We start from the raw sequence: 24,741 nt of genomic DNA, 5'->3' as shown, positions 1-24,741 counted from the left end.
ATATTTATAAAATATTATCATGGATGTTATATGGAATGAGAGAGAAAGCAAGGAGATAAGATAGATGGCTACTGAAAGTTATCCAGGTCAAATGGTGGCAGTAGCAGTGGAAGTATTGAAGAACGATCAGAGTTAGGATATATTTTGTGTTTATTTTGTTATAAAATATCTTAAGCATACAAGTGTAGAGAATAATACATTGATATATTCACCTTCCAGATCTATCAAATCCTAACATTTTGCCATATTTGCTTCAGATCCTTTCTTTTTTAAAGAAAGAAAACTGTGTTAAGTATAGTGGAATACCCAAAATAGCCTTTACAGATCCTATTCCCATCCCCCAGAGGTACCAGCTGTCCTGGTTTTGATAGTCACCATTCACATGTAAGGTTTTGAATTTTTATCACATATGTATATATCCATGAATATATAGCATTTATGTTTTTTGAAAAACATATATAAAGAGTAGATAACTTTTTCCAACTTGACCTTTTCATTTAACATTGTTTTTGAGATTTGCCCATGTTTTTATATGTAGCTCTAGTTTATTCATTTTTTTCTTATTCTACACAAAGCATTTTTTTTTAATTTTTTGAGACAGAGTCTTGCTTTGTCACCCAGGAGTGCAGTGGCACAAACATGGCTCACTGCAGCCTCAACTTTCCAGGCTCAAGTGATCCTCCCACCTCAGCCTCCCAATTAGCTGGGACTACAGGTGTGCACCACCATGCACAGCTAATTTTTGTATGAAGGGAGATCTCCCTATGTTGCCCCAGCTGGTTTCTAACTCCTGGGCTCAAGTGATCCTCCTGCCTCGGCTTCTCAGAGTGCTAGGATTACAGGTGCAAGTCACCGAGCCTGGCCCACATAGTATTCTTTTGCAGGAATATATCACAGTATCTACTATCATGTTGATGGACAGGTTCAGTTTTCATTTTTTCACGATTACAAACAGTGATGCAATAAATATCCTTGTACATGTCTCCTAGTGCACATGTACATGTATGAGAGTTTCTCTAGGTCAGTGCTTCCTAAACTTTTTCAGGTCATAGAACTCAGAAATGATAAAATTTGTGTGTTACATTGGTAAGCTGGAGGGAATTTAGAAGCATGTATATATGCAGCTTGGTGAAAAAGATCACACAAACATTGATACATTATTATTAACTAAAGCCCATACTTTATTCAGATTTCTTTAGTTTGTACCTAGTGTTCTTTTCTGTTTCAGGATCCCAGCCAGGATACCATATAACATTTAGCTATTAAAAAATAAAAATAAATAGAAAATAATAATAATAAAAATTTTAAAAAACAAAAAACATTTAGCTATTATGTCTCCTTAGTCTCCTCTAGGCTGTGACAGTTTCTCTGACTTTGTTTTTGATGACCTTTATATTTTTAGGAGTACTGGACAGGTATTTTGTAGAATGCCTCTCAATTGAAATTTGTCTATGTTTTTCTCATGAAAAACTGGGGTTATGCGATTTAGGAAGATCACAGAGGTAAAGTACATTCTCATCAGACCATATCAAGAGTTCATACTCTTATAGTGGTTTCTAACACCTCATCAGAACCTGGAAAGTGATGAAAAACTGCCTCATGACAGCCTTCCTGATAGAGAGGTGAGTGAAAAACAGATTTTTAGCAGTTCCTCACAAACCTCCCACATTGGTTTATAGTCACTTAATCTTGTTTTCTGGCATACCTAGTAATTTTTTTGTTTTTCTTTTTGAGAAGAAGTTTTGCTCTGTTGCCCAGGCTGGAGTGCAATGGCATGATCTTGTCTCACTGCAACCTCCGCCTCCCGGGTTCAAGCGAATCTCCTGCCTAAGCCTCCGGAGTAGCTGGGATTACAGGCACCCGCCACCACACTTGGCTAATTTTTTAAATATTTTTAGTAGAGATGGGGTTTCGCCATGTTGGCCAGGCTGGTCTCGAACTCCTCATCTCAAGTGATCCACCTGCCTCAGCCTCCCAAAGTGCTGGGATTACAGGCATAAGTCACCGTGTCTGGCCCATAAATTTGGATATGTAGTATTTTCATCATCATTCAGGTAAATAGTTTTAAAATTTTCATGGTGATTTCTCTTTTGACCCCTAGATTATTCATTTGAGATGGAATCTCGCTATGTTGCCCAAGCTGGTCTCAAACTTATGGGCTCAATCGATCCCCCCACCTGAGCCTCTTGAATAGCTGAGAATACAGGTGCATACCACCATGCCCAGCACCCCCAGGTTATGTAGAAAAGTATTTCTTAATTTTTAAATATAAAAATTAAGATTTTCTGGTTATTATTCATTATTGACTTCTAGCTTAATTGTGCACAGACTGTACTCTGTATGATTTCAGTTCTTTAAAATTTATGGGCACTTGCTCTATTGTCAGAGTATGTTAAACTTTTACAAATAATCCACGTGCACTTGAAATAATGCATTTGTGAACATTAATATATAAATTGGGTTATGTTTGTTAATCATGTCATTTCAAAAATCTATATCTTTAATGATGTTTTGTTTGATTTTGGGGCTCAGTTACTGAGATAGGTATGGTAAAATGTTCCACCATAGAAAAGTGGATTTTGTCTGTTTCTCATTGTGGTTCTGTATCATACACTGAGGCCATATTATTAGGTGCATACAAACTTGAAATTGTTTATTTTACTGGTAAATTTAAGTCACTCAAGGAAGTCTCAACTATGGCATCCTCAACAGATATTTATAGTTCATTTATAGTTCCTACTGGTCCAGAGGGTCTTTTTTTTTAAATTTTGAGATGGAGTCTTGCTCTGTTGCCCAGGCTGGAGGGCAGTGGTGCAATCTCAGCTCACTGCAACCTCTGCCTCCCAGGTTCAAGTGATTCTCCTGCCTCAGCCTCCTGAGTAGCTGGGACTACAGGCACACACCACCATGCCTGGCTAATTTTTGTATTTTTAGTAGAGATGGGGTTTCACCATGTTGATCAGGCTGGCCTCGAACACCTGACTTTGCGATCCGCCTACCTCACCCTCCCAAAGTGCTGGGATTACAGGTGTGAGCCACCATGCCCGGGCTCTTTTTTTTTCTTTTTCAATGTAAACTTATTTAAATACATAAAACTATCCTGTTGCAGTGGCACATGCCTGTAGTACGAGCTACTCTGGAGGCTGAGGTGGAAGTCTTGCTTGAGCTCAGGAGTTCGAGTCCAGCCTGGACAATATAGTCCATTTAGCCTTCGAAGGCTCCAGAAGAGATATTTTTGCTGCCCCAAAGAGGTGGCGGCACCTCCTTAAAATAACTGTGCTGGCTGGGCCACTTTGTCAGCAGCTTCCTCAGGAAAACAAGGCTGCAGAGTTTACTTCCTGTTGGGCTTCCTGTGCCTTGGTTTCTCCTCCTAGCTGACTCAGGGAGTCAGTGGGTGTTGCGGCCCTAAGTAGTCTTCTAGCATGTGTTCTGGTTAGTAATTATCTTAAACTGTGTGCAATATGCTATTAAATCTATACACTGGGTTCTTAAACCTATTAATTCTAGAGTTTCTATTAGGTTATTTTTTTCAAGCATGCACATGTGTAAGCATGCTCTTATTGCAGTCTTTTTCTGGTTGCTCTGGTAGGTTTCCTTTTGTTTGACATTTCTGTTAGTTCTGACTCAAAATGTTTGTTTCCATGTATGGTCTGCTAATTTTTGACTAAATACTGGTCATTTTTTGAGCAAATTATTTATAAGATATTTTGACATTTAGCCACATATCTACAACTATCTGATCTTGACAAACCTGACAAAAACAAGCAATGGGGAAAGGATTCCCTATTTAATAAATGGTGCTGGGAAAACTGGCTAGACATATGTAGAAAGCTGAAACTGGATCCCTTCCTTACACCTTATACAAAAATTAATTCAAGATGGATTAAAGACTTACATGTTAGACCCAAAACCATAAAAACCCTAGAAGAAAACCTAGGCAATACCATTCAGGACATAGGCATGGGCAAGGACTTCATGTCTAAAACACCAAAAGCAATGGCAACAAAAGCCAAAACTGACAAATGGAATCTAATTAAACTAAAGAGCTTCTGCACAGCAAAAGAAACTAGCATCAGAGTGAACAGGCAACCTACAGAATGGGAGAAAATTTTTGCAACCTACTCATCTGACAAAGGGCTAATATCCAGAATCTACAATGAACTCAAACAAATTTACAAGAAAAAAGCAAACAACCCCATCAAAAAGTGGGCGAAAGATATGAACAGACACTTCTCAAAAGAAGACATTTATGCAGCCAAAAGACACGTGAAAAAATGCTCATCATCACTGACCATCAGAGAAATGCAAATCAAAACCACAATGAGATACCATCTCGCACCAGTTAGAATGGCGATCATTAAAAAGTCAGGAGACAACAGGTGCTGGAGAGGATGTGGAGCAATAGGAACACTTTGACACTGTTGGTGGGACTGTAAACTAGTTCAACCATTGTGGAAGTCAGTGTGGCGATTCCTCAGAGATCTAGAACTAGAAATACCATTTGACCCAGCCATCCCATTACTGGGTATATACCCAAAGGACTATAAATCATGCTGCTATAAAGACACACGCACACGTGTGTTTATAGCGGCACTATTCACAATAGCAAAGACTTGGAACCAACCTAAATGTCCAACAATGACAGACTGGATTAAGAAAATGTGGCACATATACACCATGGAATACTATGCAGCCATAAAAAATGATGAGTTCATGTCCTTTGTAGGGACATGGATGAAACTGGAAACCATCATTCTCAGCAAACTATCGCAAGGACAAAAAACCAAACACCACATGTTCTCACTCATAGGTGGGAATTGAACAATGAGAACACATGGACACAGGAAGGGGAACATCACACACTGGGGACGGGGACTGTTATGGGGTGGGGGGAGGGGGGAGGGATAGCCATTAGGGGATATACCTAATGCTAAATGACGAGTTAATGGGTGCAGCACACCAACATGGCACATGTATACATATGTAACAAACCTGCACATTGTGCACATGTACCCTAAAACTTAAAGTATAATAATAATAAAATTTTAAAAAAAGATATTTTGACATTTAGGCTGATGATACCTTATTGTGGAGATAATTTTTGTTTGTTTATGCCTGGTGCCTATGAATTGCCAGTCTAGGACCAGTTTATTCAACATTCTGGGTTTCAGATTTCCTGATTAGTATAAAACCAGACTGCAATTTGTGGAAGTGCTGACCTACCTCTGGTTTATTTTTACCCTATGGGGCCTCATATTAAATATGGAGCATGTTTATTAACCTCTTCATCTCCTGTGGGCACTAGATTTAGATTTCTTTTTCTCTTGCCCCATAATCTTGCAAAAATCACAACTCAGTTTGTCAATTTTGCCTTTGCATTGGTAAATTCCTTCAGAAAAAATGCTTGGCTTAATTTCCTTGAATATCGTCATCTAGATTTTGGCCAGATAATTCCTTATATTAGATATTTGCTTCTATTTTTTTTAATCCAGCTTTTTTGTTGTCCTCAGATGGTGAGTTGGATCAAATTACCAAGTTATAAAATATATATGTTAACATGAGATCGTCCTTGAATTCCTGAGGTAAATTTGCAGTTTATAAGTGAGATTTAAAAAACTACCTTGGCTGGGTGCAGTGGCTAACGCCTGTAATCCCAGCACTTTTGGAGGCCGAGGAGGGCGGATCACCTGAGGTCAGGAGTTTGAGACCAGCCTGGCCAACATAGTGAAACCCTGTCTCTATTAAAAATACAAAAATTAGTGGGGCATGGTAGCGCGCCTGTAATCCCAGTTACTAAGGAGGTTGAGGCAGGAGAATCGCTTGAACCCAGAAGGCAGAGGTTGCAGTGAGCTGAGATCGCACCATTGCACTCCAGTCTGGGCAACAGAGCAAGACTCTGTCTCAAAACAAACAAGCAAACAAAAAAACTACCTTTGCCTGGTTTTGGCATCAAAGTTATAATAGCCTTGCGAAATGAGTGAAGAATGCTTTTTTTTTTTTTTTTTTTTTTTTGAGACAGAGTCTTGCTCTGTTGCCCAAGCTAGAGTGCAGTGGCACGATCTCGGCTTACTGCAACCTCCGCCTCCTGGGTTCAAGTGATTCTCATGCCTCAGCCTCCTGAGTGGCGGTGCATACAGGCGCACAGCACCATGCCAACTAGTTTTTGTATTTTTATTACACACAGTGTTTCACCACATTGGCCAGGCTGGTCTCAAACTCCTGACCTCAGGTAATCCACTCGCCTTGGTCTCCTAAAGTGCTGGAATTACAGGTGTGAGCCACCGTGCCCAGCCCTTTCATTTTTTAATTTCTTTTAGTAGTTTGTGTACATTTCTTCTGTGTTCTCATATTTATTGGAAGGAAACTATTTATTCTTTTATTTTAAAATTTCTGCAGAATCTATAATTATGGTTGGCTCCTAAATGTAAATTTTGTTATTGTCTTCTAATGCTTTTCTTGAAAATTCTTGCTAGTGGGACGGGCGTGGTGGCTCACGCCTGTAATCCCAGCACTTTGGGAGGCCAAGGCGGGCGGATCACGAGGTCAGGAGATCGAGACCATCCTGGCTAACACAGTGAAACCCTGTCTCTACTAAAAATACAAAAAAATTAGCCGGGCATGGTAGCACGCACCTGTAATCCCAGCTACTTGGGAGGCTGAGGTGGGAGAATCACTTGAACCCAGGAGTCGGAGGTTACAGTGAGCCAAGATCGCCAGTGCACTCCAGCCTGGCAACAGAACGAGACCCCGTCTCAAAAAAAAAAAGAAAAGAAAAGAAAACAAGAAAAAAAAAGAAAATTCTTGCTAGAGATTTGTCTATTTATAATTGCTTTCAAAGAGCAACACTTTAACTGTATTGGTCTCTATTTTATTGTTTTTTCCATTTAATTATTTTCTACTGCTGTCTTTATTTCTTTTATTCTACCTTTATTTCCTCCCTCCCCCTCTCCCTCTCTCTCTCTTTTTTCTCTCTTTCTCTCTCTCTTCCTTCCTTCCTCTTTCTTTCTTTCTCTCTTTCCCTCTCTTTCTTTCTTTCTGACAGTCTTGCTCTGTTGTCCAGGCCGGAGTGCAATGGTATGATTTTGACTCACTGCAACCTCCGCCTCCTGAATTCAAGTGATTCTCCTGCCTCAGTCTCCTGAGTAGCTTTGACCACAGGTGTGTGCGACCACGCCCAGCTAATTTTTTGTATTTTTAGTAGAAACGGGGTTTCACCATGTTGGCCAGGCTGGTCTCGAACTCCTGACCTCAGGTGATCCACCCACCTCTGCCTCCCAAAGTGCTAGGATTACAGGTGTGAGCCACCACACCCTGCCTTTTTAAATTTTGAATTCTATTTAATTTTAAATTTTTTATTTTATTTTGATTTATTTCTTTTTTTATTTTGAGACGGAATCTCACTCTGTTGCCCAGGCTGGAGTGCAGTGGAGCGATCTCAGCTCACTGCAACCTCCGCTTCCTGGGTTCAAACGATTCTTCTGCCTCAGCCTCCCAAGTAGCTAGTACTACAGGCACATGTCACCACGCCTGGCTAATTTATTTATTTATTATTATTATTATTATTATTATTATTATTATTATTTCCTGAGACGGAGTCTCACTCTATTGCCAAGGCTGGAGTGCAGTGGCATGATCTCAGCTCACTGAAACCTCCGCATCCTGGGTTCAAGCAATTCTTCTTCAGCCTCCCGAGTAGCTAGGACTACAGGCGTGTGCCACCATGCCTGGCTAATTTGTTTGTATTTTTAGGAGAGACCAGGTTTCACCATGTTGGCCAGGCTGGTCTCAAACTCCTGACCTCATGACCTGCCTGCCTTGGCCTCCCAAAGTGCTGGGATTACAGGTGTGAACCACTGCGCCTGGCCTATTTATTTTTTTTAACATGGAGTCTCACTCTGTCACCCAAGCTGAGGTGCAATGGTTGCTCACTGCAACCTACACCTCCCAGGTTCAAGCAATCCTCCTGCCTCAGCCTCCCAACTAGCTGGAATTACAGGTGCCTGCCACAACACCCACTAATTTTTGTATTTTCAGTAGAGACAGGGTTTCACCATGTTGGCCAGGCTGGTCTCGAACTCCTGACCTCAGGTGATCCACCTGCCTCGGCCTCCCATAGTGCTGGGATTATAGGTGTGAGCCGTCGCACCCGGCCTGCTTTTCTTTTTTCTAACTTCATTCACTGGACATAAATTCCCTCTAAAAGCAGATTTATCTTCATCCTACTAGTGTATGTTATGAATCTATGTCAAAAAGATATCTTGAAGAAGGTTCTGTTCTGGAATCTAGGTCATTTAACTCATAGTCTATAAATTTTAATAGTAGTGACAAATTATGAGAATAGAAGATATTTGAAACTGAATATATTAGTGATATGTAAAAAGAGGCATATAGAGATAACTTGGCAAAATAGAAAGAAGACAACAGAGTTCTATCATGAAGTCAAGAACAAGCATTTCAAAGAAGGGCTGATATTCAATATTATCAAATAATTTCAAGGTTAAGGAAAATGTTGAGCAAAAATATTTGATCATTGAAAAGTTATTAACCACATACAATGCTGGTGAGAGTCTGAAAAGTTGTATAAATATTTGACAGTTTAGTAAAAAGTTAAGGACCAGGTGCAGTGACTCATGCCTGTAATCCCAGCACTTTGGGGGTCGACGAGGGCGGATCACCTGATGTCAAGTGTTCGAGACCAGCCTGGCCAACATGGTGAAACACTGTCTCCACTAAAAGTACAAAAATTAGCCCGGCGTGGTGGCATGCGCCTGTAATCCCACCTACTCGGGAGACTGAGACAGGAGAATCACTCAAACCTGGGAGGCAGAGGTTGCAGTAAGCTGAGATCACATCACTGTACTCTAGCCCGGGTGACAAGAGTGAAACTCTGTCTCAAAAAAATAAATAAATAAAAAATTTAAACATACTTCTTCTCTATGTTCCAGCAATTCCATTCTTAAATATTTATTTTAGAGAAATAAAATAAGATATCTATAAAATGCCCCGTATAAGAAAGTTGATAGCATTTATTTACAATAATCAAAACCTGGAAACAACTTAAATGTCCATCAGCAAGAGAAAGGATAAGTTGGGGTCTATTCATACAATAGAATACTACTCAGCAATAAAAAGAAATGAATTGTGGCCAAGCGTGATAGCCCATGCCTGCAATCCCAGCACTTCGGGAGGCTGAGGCAGGTGGATCACCTGAGGCCAGGAGTTTGAGATCAGCCTGGCCAACATGGTGAAACTCCGTCTCTACTAAAAATACAACAATTTGCTGGGCATGGTGGCACACACCTGTAGGCCCAGCTACTTGGGAGGCTGAGGCAGGAGAATTGCTTGAACCCAGAAGGTGGAGGTTGCAGTGAGCTGCGATCATGCCATTGCACTCCAGCCTGGGCAACAGAGTGAGACTCTGTCTCAAAAAATAAAAAAACAAAAAAAGAATTGAAATATGCAACATGTCAACCTCAAATAATTTATGCTGAATTTAAAAAGCCAAGCAGAAGAGTATACGCTGTATGATTCCACTTATATTAAATGTTAAAATATAAAAAACTAAACTTTAGTATTAGAAATCAGAGCAAAGCCGGGCACAGTGGCTCACGCCTGTAATCCCGGCACTTTGGGAGGCCGAGGTGGGTGAATCACAAGGTCAGGAGTTCGAGACCAGCCTGCCCAAATGGTGAAAACCCGTCTCTACTAAAAGTACAAAAAAAATTAGCAGGGCGTGGTGGCGCATGCCTGTAATAACAGCTACTCAGGAGGCTGAGGCAGGAAAATTGCTTGAACTCTGGAGGTGGAGGTTGCAGCGAGCCAAGATCGTGCCATTGCACTCCAGGCTGGGCAACAGAGTGAGACTCTGTCTCAAAAAAAAGAGAAAGAAATCAGATCAAAAGTTGTTTCTGGTGGGAGGTTTGACTGGGAAGGGGGAATAGGGATCTTCCTGGGGTTGATGAAAATGTTCCGTATCAGGGGGGAGGAGCCAAGATGGCCAAATAGGAACAGCTCCGGTCCACATCTCCCAGCGTGAGTGATGCAGAAGACAGGTGATTTCTGCATTTCCAACTGAGCTTTGAAGAGAGTAGTGGTTCTCCCAGCATGCAGCTTCAGATCTGAAATCAGGCACACTGCCTCCTCAAGTGGGTCCCTGACCCCCGAGTAGCCTAACTGGCAGGCACCCCCCAGTAGGGGCAGACTGACACCTCACACGGCCAGGTACTCTTCTGAAACAAAACTTCCAGAGGAACGATCAGGCAGCAGCATCTGCAGTTCACAATATCCGCTGTTCTGCAGCCACCGCTGCTGATACCCAGGCAAACAGGGTCTGGAGTGGACCTCTAGCAAATTCCAACACACCTGCAGCTGAGGGTCCTGTCTGGTAGAAGGAAAACTAACAAACAGAAAGGACATCCACACCAAAAACCCATCTGTACGTCACCATCATCAAAGACCAAAGGTAGATAAAACCACAAAGATGGGAAAAAAACAGGGTAGAAAAACCGGAAACTCTAAAAATCACAGTGCCTCTCCTCCTCCAAAGGAACGCAGCTCCTCACCAGCAACGGAACAAAGCTGGATGGAGAATGACTTTGACGAGTTGAGAGAAGAAGGCTTCAGACGATCAAACTACTCCGAGCTACAGGAGGAAATTCGAACCAATGGCAAAGAAGTTAAAAGCTTTGAAAAAAAATTAGACGAATGGATAACTAGAATAACCAATGCAGAGAAGTCCTTAAAGGACCTGATGGAGCTGAAAACCAAGGCACAAGAGCTACGTGACGAATGCAGAAGGCTCAGTAGCCGATGCAATCAACTGGAAGAAAGGGTATCAGTGATGGAACACGAAATGAATGAAATGAAGCGAGAAGAGAAGTGTAGAGAAAAAAGAATAAAAAGAAACGAACAAAGCCTCCAAGAAATATAGGACTATGTGAAAAGACCAAATCTACGTCTGATTGGTGTACCTGAAAATGACGGGGAGAATGGAACCAAGTTGGAAAACACTCTGCAGGATATTATCCAGGAGAACTTCCCCAATCTAGCAAGGCAGGCCAACATTCAGATTCAGGAAATACAGTGAATGCCACAAAAATACTCCTCGAGAAGAGCAATTCCAAGACACATAATTGTCAGATTCACCAAAGTTGAAATGAAGGAAAAAATGTTAAGGGCAGACAGAGAGAAAGGTCGGGTTACCCACAAAGGGAAGCCCATCAGACTAACTGCTGATGTCTCAGCAGAAACTCTACAAGCCAGAAGAGAGTGGGGACCAATATTCAACATTCTTAAAGAAAAGAATTTTCGACCCAGAATCTCATATCCAGCCAAACTAAGCATCATAAGTGAAGGAGAAATAAAATACTTTACAGACAAGCAGATGCTGAGAGATTTTGTCACCACGAGGCCTGCCCTAAAAGAGCTCCTGAAGGAAGCACTAAACATGGAAAGGAACAACCAGTACCAGCCACTGCAAAAACATGCCAAATTGTAAACACCATCAAGGCTAAGAAGAAACTGCACCAACTAACAAGCAAAATAACCAGCTAACATCATAATGACAGGATCAAATTCACACATAACAATATTAACTTTAAATGTAAATGGGCTAAATGCTCCAATTAAAAGACACAGACTGGAAAATTGGATAAAAAGTCAAGACCCATCAGCGTGCTGTATTCAGGAAACCCATCTCACATGCAGAGACACACATAGGCTCAAAATAAGGGATGGAGGAAGATCTACCAAGCAAATGGAAAACAGAAAAAGACAGGGGTTGCAATCCTAGTCTCTGATAAAACAAACTTTAAACCAACAAAGATCAAAAGAGACAAAGAAGGCCATTACATAATGGTAAAGGGATCAATTCAACAAGAAGAGCTAACTATCCTAAATATATATGCACCCAATACAGGAGCACCCAGATTCATAAAGCAAGTCCTTTGTGACCTACAAAGAGACTTAGACTCCCACACAATAATAATGGGAGACTTTCACACCCCACTGTCAACATTAGACAGATCAATGAGACAGAAAGTTAGCAAGGATACCCAGGAATTGAACTCAGCTCTGCACCAAGCGGACCTAATAGACATCTACAGAACTCTCCACCTCAAATCAACAGAATATACATTCTTTTCAGCACCACACCACACCTACTCCAAAATTGACCACATAGTTGGAAGTAAAGCACTTCTCAGCAAATGTAAAAGAACAGCAATTATAACAAACTGTCTCTCAGACCACAGTGCAATCAAACTAGAACTCAGGATTAAGAAACTCACTCAAAACCACTCAACTACAAGGAAACTGAACAACCTGCTCCTGAATGACTACTGGGTAAATAACAAAATGAAGGCAGAAATAAAGATGTTCTTTGAAACCAACGAGAAAAAACACACAACATACCAGAATCTCTGGGACACATTCAAAGCAGTGTGTAGAGGGAAATTTATAGTACTAAATGCCCACAAGAGAAAGCAGGAAAGATCTAAAATTGACACCCTAACATCACAATTAAAAGAACTAGAAAAGCAAGAGCAAACACATTCAAAAGCTAGCAGAAGGCAAGAAATAACTAAGATCAGAGCAGAACTGTAGGAAATAGAGACACAAAAAACCCTTCAAAAAATTAATGAATCCAGGAGCTGGTTTTTTGAAAAGATCAACAAAATTGATAGACCGCTAGGAAGACTAATAAAGAAGAAAAGAGAGAAGAATCAAATAGACGCAATAAAAAATGATAAAGGGGATATCACCACCGATCCCACAGAAATACAAACTACCATCAGAGAATACTATAAACACCTCTACGCAAATAAACTAGAAAATCTAGAAGAAATGGATAAATTCCTCGACACATACATCCTCCCAAGACTAAACCAGGAAGAAGTTGAATCTCTGAATAGACCAATAACAGGCTCTGAAATTGAGGCAATTATCAATAGCTTAACAACCAAAAAAAAGTCCAGGACCACATGGATTCACAGCCGAATTCTACCAGAGGTACAAAGAGGAGCTGGTACCATGCCTTCTGAAACTATTCCAATCAATAGAAAAAGAGGGAATCCTCCATAACTCATTTTATGAGGCCAGCATCATCCTGACACCAAAGCCTGGCAGAGACACAACCAAAAAAAGAGAATTTTAGACCAATATCCTTGATGAACACTGATGCAAAAATCCTCAATAAAATACTGGCAAACCGAATCCAGCAGCATATCAAAAAGCTTATCCACCATGATCAAGTGGGCTTCATCCCTGGGATGCAAGGCTGGTTCAACATATGCAAATCAATGAATGTAATCCAACATATAAACAGAACCAAAGACAAAAACCACATGATTATCTCAATAGATGCAGAAAAGGCCTTTGACAAAATTCAACAACACTTCATGCTAAAAACTCTCAATAAATTAGGTACTGATGGGACGTATCTCAAAATAATAAGAGCTATCTATGAGAAACCCACAGCCAATATCATACTGAATGGGCAAAAACTGGAGCATTCCCTTTGAAAACTGGCACAAGACAGGGATGCCCTCTCTCACCACTCCCATTCAACGTACTGTTGGAAGTTCTGGCCAGGGCAATCAGGCAGGAGAAGGAAAAAAAGGGTATTCAATTGGGAAAAGAGGAAGTCAAATTGTCCCTGTTTGCAGATGACATGATTGTATATTTAGAAAACCCCATCATCTCAGCCCAAAATCTCCTCAAGCTGATAAGCAACTTCAGCAAAGTCTCAGGATACAAAATCAATGTACAAAAATCGCAAGCATTCTTATACACCAATAACACACAGACAGCCAAATCGTGAGTGAACTCCCATTCACAATTGCTTCAAAGAGAATAAAATACCTTACAAGGTATTGAATCCAACTTACAAGGGATGTGAAGCACCTCTTCAAGGAGAACTACAAACCACTGCTCAACGAAATACAAGAGGATACAAACAAATGGAAGAACATTCCATGCTCATGGGTAGGAAGAATCAATATCATGAAAATGGCCATACTGCCCAAAGTAATTTATAGATTCAATGCCTTCCCCATCAAGCTATCAATGACTTTCTTCACAGAATTAGAAAAAAACTACTTTAAAGTTCATATGGAACCAAAAAAGAGCCTGCATTGTCAAATCAATCCTAAGCCAAAAGAACAAAGCTGGAGTCATCACATTACCTGACTTCAAACTATACTACAAGGCCACAGTAACTAAAACAGTGTGGTACTGGTACCAAAACAGAGATATAGACCAATGTAACAGAACAGAGCCCTCAGAAATAATGCTGCATATCTACAACTATCTGATCTTTGACAAACCTGACAAAAACAAGCAATGGGGAAAGGATTCCCTATTTAATAAATGGTGCTGGGAAAACTGGCTAGCCATATGCAGAAAGCTGAAACTGGATCCCTCCCTTACACCTTATACAAAAATAAATTCAAGATGGATTAAAGACTTAAATGTTAGACCTAAAACCATAAAAACCCTAGAAGAAAACCTAGGCAATACCATTCAGGACATAGGCATGGGCAAGGACTTCATGTCTAAAACACCAAAAGCAATGGCAACAAAAGCCAAAATTGACAAATGGAATCTAATTAAACTAAAGAGCTTCTGCACAGTGAAAGAAACTAGCATCAGAGTGAACAGGCAACCTACAGAATGGGAGAAAATTTTTGCAACCTACTCATCCAACAAAGGGCTAATATCCAGAATCTACAATGAACTCAAACAAATTTACAAGAAAAAAACAAACAACCCTATCAAAAAGTGGGCAAAGGATATGAACAGACACGTCTCAAAAGAAGACATTTATGCAGCCAAAAGACACATGAAAAAATGCTCATCATCACTGGCCATCAGAGAAATACAAATCAAAACCACAATGAGATACCATCTCCCACCAGTTAGAATGTCGATCATTAAAAAGTCAGGAGACAATAGGTGCTGGAGAGGATGTGGAGCAGCTGGAACACTTTGACAATGTTGGTGGGACTGTAAACTAGTTCAACCATTGTGGAAGTCAGTGTGGCGATTCCTCAGGGATCTAGAACTAGAAATACCATTTGACCCAGCCGTCCCATTACTGGGTATATACCCAAAGGATTATAAATCATGCTGCTATAAAGACACATGCACATGTATGTATGTTTACAGAGGCACTATTCACAATAGCAAAGACTTGGAACCAACCTAAATGTCCAACAATGACAGACTGGATTAAGAAAATGTGGCACATATACACCATGGAATACTATGCAGCCATAAAAAATGATGAGTTCATGTCCTTTGTAGGGACATGGATGAAACTGGAAACCATCATTCTCAGCAAACTATCGCAAGGACAAAAAACCAAACACCACATGTTCTCACTCACAGGTGGGAATTGAACAATGAGAACACATGGACACAGGAAGGGGAACATCACACACCGGGGACGGGGACTGTTGTGGGGTGGGGGGAGGGGGGAGGGATAGCATTAGGAGATATACCTAATGCTAAATGACGAGTTAATGGGTGCAGCACACCAACATGGCACATGTATACATATGTAACAAACCTGCACGTTGTGCACATGTACCCTAAAACTTAAAGTATAATAATAATAAAATTAAAAAAAAAATAAGTTGAGATCTTACTAAAGGTCTAAAAAAAAAAAGTTCTGTATGTTGATAAGAATTTTTCTATATGGACTGAAGTGTTTACTTCAGATCTAAGGATTTAACTATATTATATATACAATATCATATATAATATTATATATTAAATATATATTATATTAATATGATATTATATATTAAATTATAAATCTTATACAGATAACCATACTGCTATGCTTTCGAAGTTTATGTTTCAACTTTTTATTATTTATTTATTTTTGAGATGGAGTTTCACTTTTGTTGCCCAGGTTGGAATGCAATGGCATGATCTCCACTCACTGCAACCTCTGCCTCCTGGGTTCAAGCGATTCTCCTGCTTCAGCCTCCCAAGTTGCTAGGATTACAGGCATGCACCACCACACTTGGCTCATTTTATTTCTTTAGCGGATAGACATGAGGTTTCACCACGTTGGTCAGGCTAGTCTCGAACTCCCGACCTCAGGCGATCCACCCACCTCAGCCTCCCGAAGTGCTGGGAATATAGGTGTGAGCCACCGCGCCCAGCCTCAACTTTTTATTTTTTAATTATTTGGTTTTTTTTTTTAAAAGGCTAGTCAAGTGATGCAGTGAAAGTGGAGAAGAAACAAATTTGTGATTAAGGTTTTCAGAATAAAAAGTTGAGGCCGGGAGCAGCGGCTCACATCAGTAATCCTAGCACTTTGGGAGGCCAAGGTGGGAGGATCATTTAAATCCAGGAGTTTGAAACAGCCTGGGCAACATGGTGAAACCCTGTCTCTACAAAAGATACAAAAATTAGCTGAGAGTGGTGGTGTGCCCGTGGTCCCAGCTACTTGGGAGGCTGAGGTACGAAGACTGCTTGAGCTGGGAGGTGAAGGTTGCAGTGAGCTGTGATCATGCCACTGCACTCTAGCCTGGGCGACAGAGTGAGACCCTGTCTCAAAAAAAAAAAAAAAAAGTGAGGAAAAATTTTTTTTTAATTCCTTGTTCAGTTTCCTTGATACTAGTTTTGGTAAAGTCTAAGACTAAGACAGTATTGGCAAAGTGTGTAGGAGTTAGGAAATGTGATATAAATAGATATATGCTTAGCAAAAGAAGTAAAGTGGCTTGGAAAACATCTGGGAGGCCTGAGCACTGTTATAGGGAGAGAGGAAGTAATCAGTGGGAAGGAAAAGAGAGATATTAAAATCAGTAAAGTCTAATGGGTTCAGAGACAGATGTGAAAGGATTAAGAAGACAGGTGCTTGGAACTAAACTCAAGGTTACATGGTTGGTCCAACCAGGTTGGAATGCTCTTTGCTAAAATTACTAGGATATATCATATGGTTCTTAATTATGTTTCTTAATGAAGTGCTTTTTTTTTTTTGTTATGTGTTTATCAGCTGTTTAGATTCAAAATCAGCTTAGCTGTTTAGATACAAAAAATTTACCATCTTTCACTTTATAAATTTACAGAGTACACTCATACACCTGATCTATCAGATCAGGTATCTCATCCTGAGATAGGTGTAGTCATTTTTCTTTTCCAGATTAGAAAAATTAAGTTGAGACTTTGCTAAAGTTACACAGCTAGTAAATGGAAAAGCTACTCCTGAGATTTTTGACTTCGTGTATTAAAATCTTATGACACTTTATGCCAGGCGCAGTAGCTCATGCCTGTAATCCCAGCACTTTGGGAGGCCAAGGCAGGTGGATCACGAGGTCAGGAGTTCAAGACTAGCCTGACCAAGACGGTGAAACCCCATCTCTACTAAAAGTACAAAAATTAGCTGGGCATGGTGGCGGGTGCCTGTAATCCCAGCTACTTGGGAGGCTGAGGCAGAGAATTGCTTAAATTCGGGGGGGCAGAGGTTGCAGTGAGCCGAGATCGTGCCACTGCACTCCAGACTGGGCAACAGAGCGAGACTCCGTCCCAAAAAGCAAAAACAGAAACAAAAAACAAACAAACAAAAAAACTTAGGACACTTTAATCACAGTACTTATAATGAATCTTCTAATTTGGAGCCATTTTAAGACGGTAGCCTAGTCAGGTAATTGCCTGGAGATTCAATCCATAAAGAGCACTAAAACATTTTACCATTGGAAATGTAATAAAGAAAAAGGATATATTTAATAGAATTCCTCTGGTAGAAGAGTTCAGCATGTGGCTGGCACTGGTACTTTGATATGTGGCCTTTTGTGAGTGATAAGATTACTGCACCTCCCTCCTTCTCCACTCCCCTTTAAGGGTATACCACATTACTATGTTATAAGGAAGTTGGATTCAAGTAAGTGCAGGGATTTCTTTTTAATGAGGATATATAAATCTAGACCAGAGCAGAAATGATCACAACAGTGAAGAGAAACATGCCCTTTCTACCCTTTACCACTCAGCCATTCCTTTGAACATATATTGAATGATTATTGGGGAGTATAGATTAGAAAAAATGCCAAATTAATAATCTGGTCTGGTGAGACAAAGTAGCACCCTATTTCAGAATTCTTTCTATTGCAACTAATAGAAATCTCAACTCAAACAATCTAAAACCTTACAAGAAAGGCATTGGCTCAAGAAAACTGGCCAGTACAGAGGCAGAGTGAGTATCAAAGTCAATGCTGAGATTTTGTGTGTGTGTGATTTTTCTGCTCACAAGAAGGGTTGGTTCTCAGGTTGGCTCTTCACTGTAGCAAAATGGCGAGTGTTCCACATGCCAGAAAGTCTTATCTCTAATCACTGAATAAATGTCCTAGGCTTCCCTCTGATTAGCCTACCTTAGGGCACGGGTCCACACTTGATCTACTTGGCAAAGCCTATAAATGCTCAGTACTAATCAGATTTATATGCCCAGTTGTGATCTAATACTGTGGCCAGAATGACATAACAGTCCTTAATGACTCAGGCCAGTCTAGGGCAGCACCTAGAACTCTTTGCAGTCAAACCTACCCAACCCATCCAGGAGCTGCTACACATTGAGGAAGGGGCAGAATGAATGCTGGGAAGCAACTACAAAGAACACTGCACGTAAGTTTCAGTGGGGCTTTGCTTTTCTTTTCTTACTGTTTTGTGTTTATGTTGGTCCTCTTTATGGGTGTAAGCTCCTCTGTGGCAGGGCTGTATTGTACTCTATTCGTCTATTCCCCGAAAACTCCTCCCACAGTGGCATTCACTTAAAGCCTACTAAACAATGTTAAATTCTACTGAGGTGTAAATCAAGGTCTACGGAGAATAAATCAAGAGTAAGAATAAGCCAAGCGAAGATCACAAAGTTAATGGTGGAGAGACAGATTTAGAACCTGGACATTGTTCATTCATTCCTTTATTCATTAAACAAATACAAGGCCAACTATTTGTTAGGCATTTATCAGCCATTATAGTCTAGTGGGTTTACAATTTTTTAACATAAAATTTTAAAATAATAATTTTTATTTTTTGAGACAAAGTCTCACTCTGTTGCCCAGGCTGGAGTGCAATGGTGCGATCGCAGCTCACTGCAACCTCCACCTCCTGGGTTCAAGCAATTTTCCTGTCTCAGCCTCACGAGTAGCTGGGATTACAGGCATGTGCCACCACACCCGGCTAATTTTTTTTTTTTTGAGATGGAGTTTCGCTTTTGTTGCCCAGGCTGGAGTGCAATGGCGCTATCTCCGCTCCCTGGAACCTCCGCCTCCAGGGTTCAAGCGATTCTCCTGCCTTAGTCTCCGGAGTAGCTGGGATTACAGGAATGCGCCACCACGCCTGGCTAATTTTGCATTTTTGGTGGAGACGGGGTTTCTCCATGTTGGTCAGGCTGGCCTCCAACTCCCAACCTCAGGTGATCCGCCCGCCTCTGCCTCCCAAAGTGCTGGAATTTAGAGCGTGGGCCACAGCTCCTGGCCTAATTTTTGTATTTTTAGTAGAGACAGGGTTTCACCATGTTGGCCTGGCTGGTCTGCAACTCCCGACCTCAAGTGATCCACCTGCCTCGGCTTCCTAAAGTGCTGGGATTACAGGCATGAGCCACTGCACCTGGCCAAAACAATATGTGTGTGTGTTGTGTATATATACACAACACACACACACACACACACACACATATATATATATACACGCACACACATATATATCAAATAAACAATTACACAAATACCTACATAATTACCATGGAGACATCTCAGGAAGAAAAAGTTCAGGGTCCTAGGAGAGGTCATAACAGGGGAATTTGAATTAAAATGTGGGATGTGGGTGAGGGATGGTCTTCCTGAGGAAGTGACACTTAAAGTGAAACCTGAAGGATGAACAGGAGTTAGGAACAAAGAAGAGAGTGGGAAATTATTCTTGGTTCAAGGATCAACATTTAGAAGCCTTAAAACTTGAGGGGAGGCCGGGTGCAGTGGCTCACGCCTGTAATCTCAGTACTTTGGGAGGCCGAGGCGGGCGGATCACCTGAGGTCCGGAGTTGGAGACCAGCCTGACCAACTTGGAGAAACCTCGTTTCTACCAAAAATACAATCGCAGCTACTCGGGAGGCGGAGGTAGGAGAATCGCTTGAACCCGGGAGGCAGACATTGCGGTGAGCCGAGATCGTGCCATTGCACTCCAGCCTGGGCAACAAGAGCAAAACTCCGTCTCAAAAAAACAAAACTTGCGGGGTGCGGGGGCAGGGGAGTGGAAGGAAGACCTGGAAGTGCAGTGCGGATGAAACGAGGGGTAGTGGGAAGAGGCGGTAGGTAGGAGGCTGATTAAACAGGGCCTTAAAAGTTACATTGTTTTAAAGACCTCTCGTGTGTGGGTTCCACCCAATTCTTCAAGGAAATTGAACCCTGGACACCGTCCAGCGATTTTTCTGGCCATCTTGACTCAGCATCTTCCTTCATCCTATATCAGCACATTACGGGGGGGCCATCAAGCTTCCTTCTATCTACTTACTCTGCCTTGGCGTTTGACTCCTTCCTAGCTATCAGATTTCCCCGACTTTTTAGCATGGCCCTTCTGAGCGCTCTTATTTCACTTCTCCCCGCCCCCAACCCCACCGCCTAACTCTCCCAACTCTGCAGTCCGTGACCTTCAGGTGCCCTTCAAGGTCAGAAAAACTCGGCAAGGTTGGTACTTGCAGGACATTAGCAATTCAAAGAGGTGTCACACAACCTCACCATTAGATGGGAACAATAGCTTACCCAACACCCATATTTAGATTATTCCGCCACAACTACTCTGGGGGATGGTTTTATTTGCGGCGGCTTTCTCCGTCCATAGGCACCGCGTGAAGGGCACCGTAAGAATCTTCCCGAATGCTCCTGTCACGCGTCCCGGCCGCCTCTTCTTCCTCCCCGCCACTTCCCGAGGCCAGGCCCGCGGATAACGCCTCAGTTGCGACCCAGCTCTAGGCAGTCCGCAGGGGCCTCCGCCGGGGAGGGAAGGCACGACCTGGGGCCGAGCGGGGCCAAGCCGCGGGGCAGCACGCCGGGGCAGGCGCGGGCGGGCGCTGTCGCCGCGCGGACTGAAGGCGCGGGCGGAAGGCGGTCGCGCGGGTGGGCAGGGGGCACCGCTAGGGGCGGGGCTTCGGCGCGTCGGAGGCGGAGCTCCCGCGCCGTTCACGTGACGGGCCCGGCTGTAGCGGCGGCGGCCGCGGCGTCTTAAGCGGCGCCCAGTGCAGGATGGTGCTGGAGGCGGCGGCGGCCGTGGTGGCGGCAGCGTCGTTGGCGGCAGCGGGAGTGGGTGCGGCGGCAGCGGCGGCGGCGCCCGCGGGTGGTATAAAATGGCGGATTTCGAAGAGTTGAGGGTAAGCGGGAGTGGAGAGCGGAGGCCGCGGGGGAGGGGATGGGAGAGGAGGTGGGGAAACCGCAACGTCGCCGGCCGCCGCCTGCTCGTGCCTCTGGGGCCGGTTGGCGGAGCCCTGAGCCCCGGCCCGCGGACGAACGGGCGCCGAGGGCGCGGGGGAGGGGAGCGGGCCGGCGGAGGGCACGCGGGCGGCGCGGGGGCGGCGGGCCTGGGCCGCGGCGAGCCGGCTCCTGAGTGCTGCCAGTGGTCCGCACACCTGGCGCGGGGGGTCGGGGCGCCCTCCAGGAGGGGCACATGGGGACCCGACATCCCGGTTCGCAGTGAGGGCCGATGTGGGAAGCAACGTTTGATCTTGCACCTTCACCGGGGTGTACGTGTCTGTGGCTATTCACAAGTCTGCATGCTACTCACTTGGTGGAGGACTGTTTTCTGAAAGCTGAAGTTGCGTTTAGGAATCTCTCCTCTTCTTATGGCTGATGCTACCGTTTAGTCAGGTCTGTCACGAGAAAAGGCCCCTTCTCCCACCCTTGCCTCCTAACATCTTCGAGGAACCTAATGTTTGGGGATCCCTGCCTTCAATAATCGGCCTTAAACCTCGATATTTTCTTAGTGTTTTAGTAAGAAATCTGCAAAGTCTATGTTGTGAGGTTTGTGCACCCCTTTTACTCTTGAGGAAAAATATTTTTTTCTTCTCAGTCTTAAAACAAGATCATAACTTTATTGTTGATACCCTTGTATAGCAGAGGTCTGGAATAGGGCTGTGATGGGGGTAGAACAGAAGAGACTTTTTCCCCCCAGACTGATAACCTTTAAAGTCCTAACTAAGTGTGACGAATGAGATGGATTTGTGTGTATCGCTGAATTACTGGCGACATAAATGAGATGTTTACGGACAGAAACCCTGATTTTTTTTTTTTTTAAATGTATCAAGGTAGAGATGAGTGTAAACTTGAAATTACATTTACTGCAACTCGTTTGTGTAACACTTATGATATTAGGATTTCTTTTTCAAATAAGGAAGAGGAATCCGGTAAAAGGTTCAGTTTTGTATATTTATTGTTTTCCGCAAGAGATGGGATGGGGGAAGGATGTTGGCTGGTTACCTGCTTAGTGGACGTGAGCAAAAGAACGTATCCTCTGCTCTAAACGGAGATTGTTGGAGTTTGCACAGTGCCTGCCATATTCCCTCCTGCTGTTTCAAAAATAATTATTAAGTTCCCAGTAAACACATATTAATACATGTTATGCCCCATACTAGTTTATGCAGAGAACCATAAGTGTAGGTAAAGGGTGTTCATACTTGATAAGTTTAAGGGTTTTAGTGGCTCAGAGCCCCAGCTGTAGAGCTTTTAACACCTGTGGAGCTTTTCAAACAACGAACCCTGAACCTCACCTCTGTAAATTCATGCGTTAGATTTAGGATGGGTTGAGAAGACTGAACTCTGAAGTTATATTTATTTTTACCTGCCATTTTTAATTTTTGTGTAGTAACAGATGTATACAAGTTTTCTAAGTTCTTTTTTTTTTTTTTGTTAATGAAAACTTTCCAGGATTTTTATTAGACTCTTGTGAATGTTGTTGGCCAAAGCTTAATGTAAAGCGAAGAATTTACTCGCTCTTATAGAGCAGAGTAAAAGCAGTCAGTGCTCAGATTGGAGTGCAACCAGCAACTGGAAAGTGATAGAAACCAAAGAAGCTTTTTTTTCTCTTCCTTTCTGCCTTCCTCTCTGTTTTGGTTTGTGGATCAGCTTCATCCTCTTTTCCTGTAAATCAGCTGTCTTTACTTCTTGCATTTTTAGAAGATGGCCCCTCTCCCACAATTCATATGACGTGCCCAACAGAGACTAACTGGGGAGAATTTTCAGAGGAGTGAGGGGTGCAGGCTGGGCACATGCAGTAAGCATCATCTGCTTTTCTTTGCCTTAACTGCTCTGTGCAGACCCATGTTACCCTACACTTGAAGATGAACTGTACCCCGCCCTTACATCCCATTACAGACAGTAATGATGATGATGGTATATACCCATTTTAATATAGTGGTTATTCCATGCCTGGTTCTGGTCTAAGCATTTTTTCTATACTTATTTAATTCTCACAATTTTTTCAAGAAATTGAAGCACAGAGAGGTTAACCTGACCTAAATCACACAGCTTGAGATTTGAAAAGCTAAGATTTTTAATCTTAGACATGTAGCTTTTAGAGTCTGGGCTTTTCAGAGCCCGGGCTACACTACTTTGTTCTGGTACCTTGGGGTCTAGGTGGAGCTTCTAGCCATCATCCTGCGATTGCTCCTAAATTAAATGATTGGTAACATCCTTCTTGTGTGACATTATAATAAAGGAAGAAAAACAGACTAAAAAACGGAATAGAAAGAAAGAAAAGGGGAAGAAATAATCTTGGATTCTCAAAATGATGGTCCTTGGATCAGAATATATTGTGGTGGTCAGAGTGATGCTCAAGTAAATTATAGGACCAGGAAAAATTTTGGGCATTAGTTTGTTGGCTAACTTCTTGGCAGTAGAGAAATTGGTCAGCCGATCTGGATGCCACATATTTGGCTGCTGATATGCCACAGAGAGGATTTCCATTACCCTTCAAGGCTACTCATTTTGGACAAGTATAACCAGAGCAGTTCATATCCTGGCTAGTGCTGCATCTATACTGGAGATAGGGAATTTTGGGAAAGGTAATCCTCAGTGTGGTTTGGTGACCCTGGTGCCTTTGCTTTTCAGACTTGTGTGTCGGGGGTGGAGTTGGGGGGGGGAGGGTTGGTTATTCGATTAGGCAACTGTTAAGGGGGTCGCCTGACTATTTCAGTTTTGGAGACTGCTGCGTGAGCCAGTACCAGAGATCTTGGCTGGTCATAGCAGAATATGGCAGCTCTATACCTTGTTGCCTTTCAGTCCGGGTGACCAGAATACCAGCCCACCTCTCTTCCAGTTCTTCTGGGAGAGAGAATCTGATTGGCTGAGTTTAGGTCTCTACTTCTGTTCTAATCATCCATAGCCGGGGGCTTAGAGTCAAAGCACACAAACCTGATCAGCAGATTATCCTGATGGATTGAAGGAAAGGAAGTGGGGAAGTTCTCTGAAAAGGGAAAATGTGGCCTGTGTGCTCAAAGATGGTTACAATAATGTGTTATATATTAGAAGCTTTCAAGGTGCCAGAGAAGAAATTACTCAATTTACCAGTTGCTTATTTATGGCATCTGTGTTGTTAGGAGCTGAAGGAGTGATTAGTTTGTGAATGAACAGATTTTGAATTAACTAGTTGTGAATTAATGTGGGACAAGATCATAAGATTTGATGGCCTGAACTTCTGTCACTGCTGCCTTGCTTCCTCCTCCAAAAATGGTCTGGAGGGCAGGGCTTGGTAGCT

At 42.4% G+C, this 24,741-nt stretch overlaps 2 protein-coding genes across 51 annotated transcripts in view, besides 5 other annotated features; one reads left to right on the top strand and one right to left on the bottom strand.

Moving 5' to 3' along the window:
• KATNAL2 (katanin catalytic subunit A1 like 2) overlaps window positions 1-21,092 on the bottom strand; it is a 184,650-nt gene extending 163,558 nt beyond the window's left edge. For 20 of the 21 annotated variants that reach the window (NR_148563.1, NM_001353904.1, NM_001353899.1 and 17 more), the window contains exon 1: window positions 20,760-21,092. The gene's annotated coding sequence lies outside the window, so the exon portion shown is untranslated. The remainder of the gene's footprint in view (window positions 1-20,759) is intronic. The other variant, NM_001387690.1, reaches the window with a different exon arrangement.
• PIAS2 (protein inhibitor of activated STAT 2) overlaps window positions 18,541-24,741 on the top strand; it is a 116,928-nt gene continuing 110,727 nt past the window's right edge. For 28 of the 30 annotated variants that reach the window (NR_136684.2, NR_148702.2, NR_148700.2 and 25 more), the window contains exon 1: window positions 21,179-21,364. Coding sequence is in view for 6 of the 30 variants with exons in the window: in NM_004671.5 (NP_004662.2) it covers window positions 21,341-21,364 (24 nt within the window). In the remaining 24 variants the exon portion in view is untranslated. Of the gene's footprint in view, window positions 18,628-21,178; window positions 21,365-24,741 lie in introns of those variants that run through there. The other 2 variants (XM_006722573.3, NM_001324060.2) reach the window with 1 other exon arrangement.
• Window positions 18,770-19,522: an enhancer, noted in NCBI's record as "H3K4me1 hESC enhancer chr18:44499127-44499879 (GRCh37/hg19 assembly coordinates)". NCBI's record gives its function as "activates a minimal SCP1, AML or CMV promoter by ChIP-STARR-seq in primed H9 embryonic stem cells {active_cell/tissue: H9 hESC(primed)}" and the evidence as "EXISTENCE:reporter gene assay evidence [ECO:0000049][PMID:30033119]".
• Window positions 20,920-21,659: a silencer, noted in NCBI's record as "silent region_9422". NCBI's record gives its function as "represses an Ori minimal core promoter by ATAC-STARR-seq in GM12878 lymphoblastoid cells {active_cell/tissue: GM12878}" and the evidence as "EXISTENCE:reporter gene assay evidence [ECO:0000049][PMID:35858748]".
• Window positions 20,920-21,809: a biological region, named in NCBI's record as "NANOG-H3K27ac hESC enhancer GRCh37_chr18:44496866-44497619".
• Window positions 21,030-21,783: an enhancer, noted in NCBI's record as "NANOG-H3K27ac hESC enhancer chr18:44496866-44497619 (GRCh37/hg19 assembly coordinates)". NCBI's record gives its function as "activates a minimal SCP1, AML or CMV promoter by ChIP-STARR-seq in primed H9 embryonic stem cells {active_cell/tissue: H9 hESC(primed)}" and the evidence as "EXISTENCE:reporter gene assay evidence [ECO:0000049][PMID:30033119]".
• Window positions 21,730-21,809: a silencer, noted in NCBI's record as "silent region_9421". NCBI's record gives its function as "represses an Ori minimal core promoter by ATAC-STARR-seq in GM12878 lymphoblastoid cells {active_cell/tissue: GM12878}" and the evidence as "EXISTENCE:reporter gene assay evidence [ECO:0000049][PMID:35858748]".

The sequence above is a fragment of the Homo sapiens genome, chromosome 18 (genome assembly GCF_000001405.40).
Source record: "Homo sapiens chromosome 18, GRCh38.p14 Primary Assembly".
Classification (NCBI taxonomy): domain Eukaryota; kingdom Metazoa; phylum Chordata; class Mammalia; order Primates; family Hominidae; genus Homo; species Homo sapiens.
The sequence above is the reverse complement of the archived record's forward strand: the minus strand, read 5'-3'. Positions and strand labels throughout refer to the sequence as shown.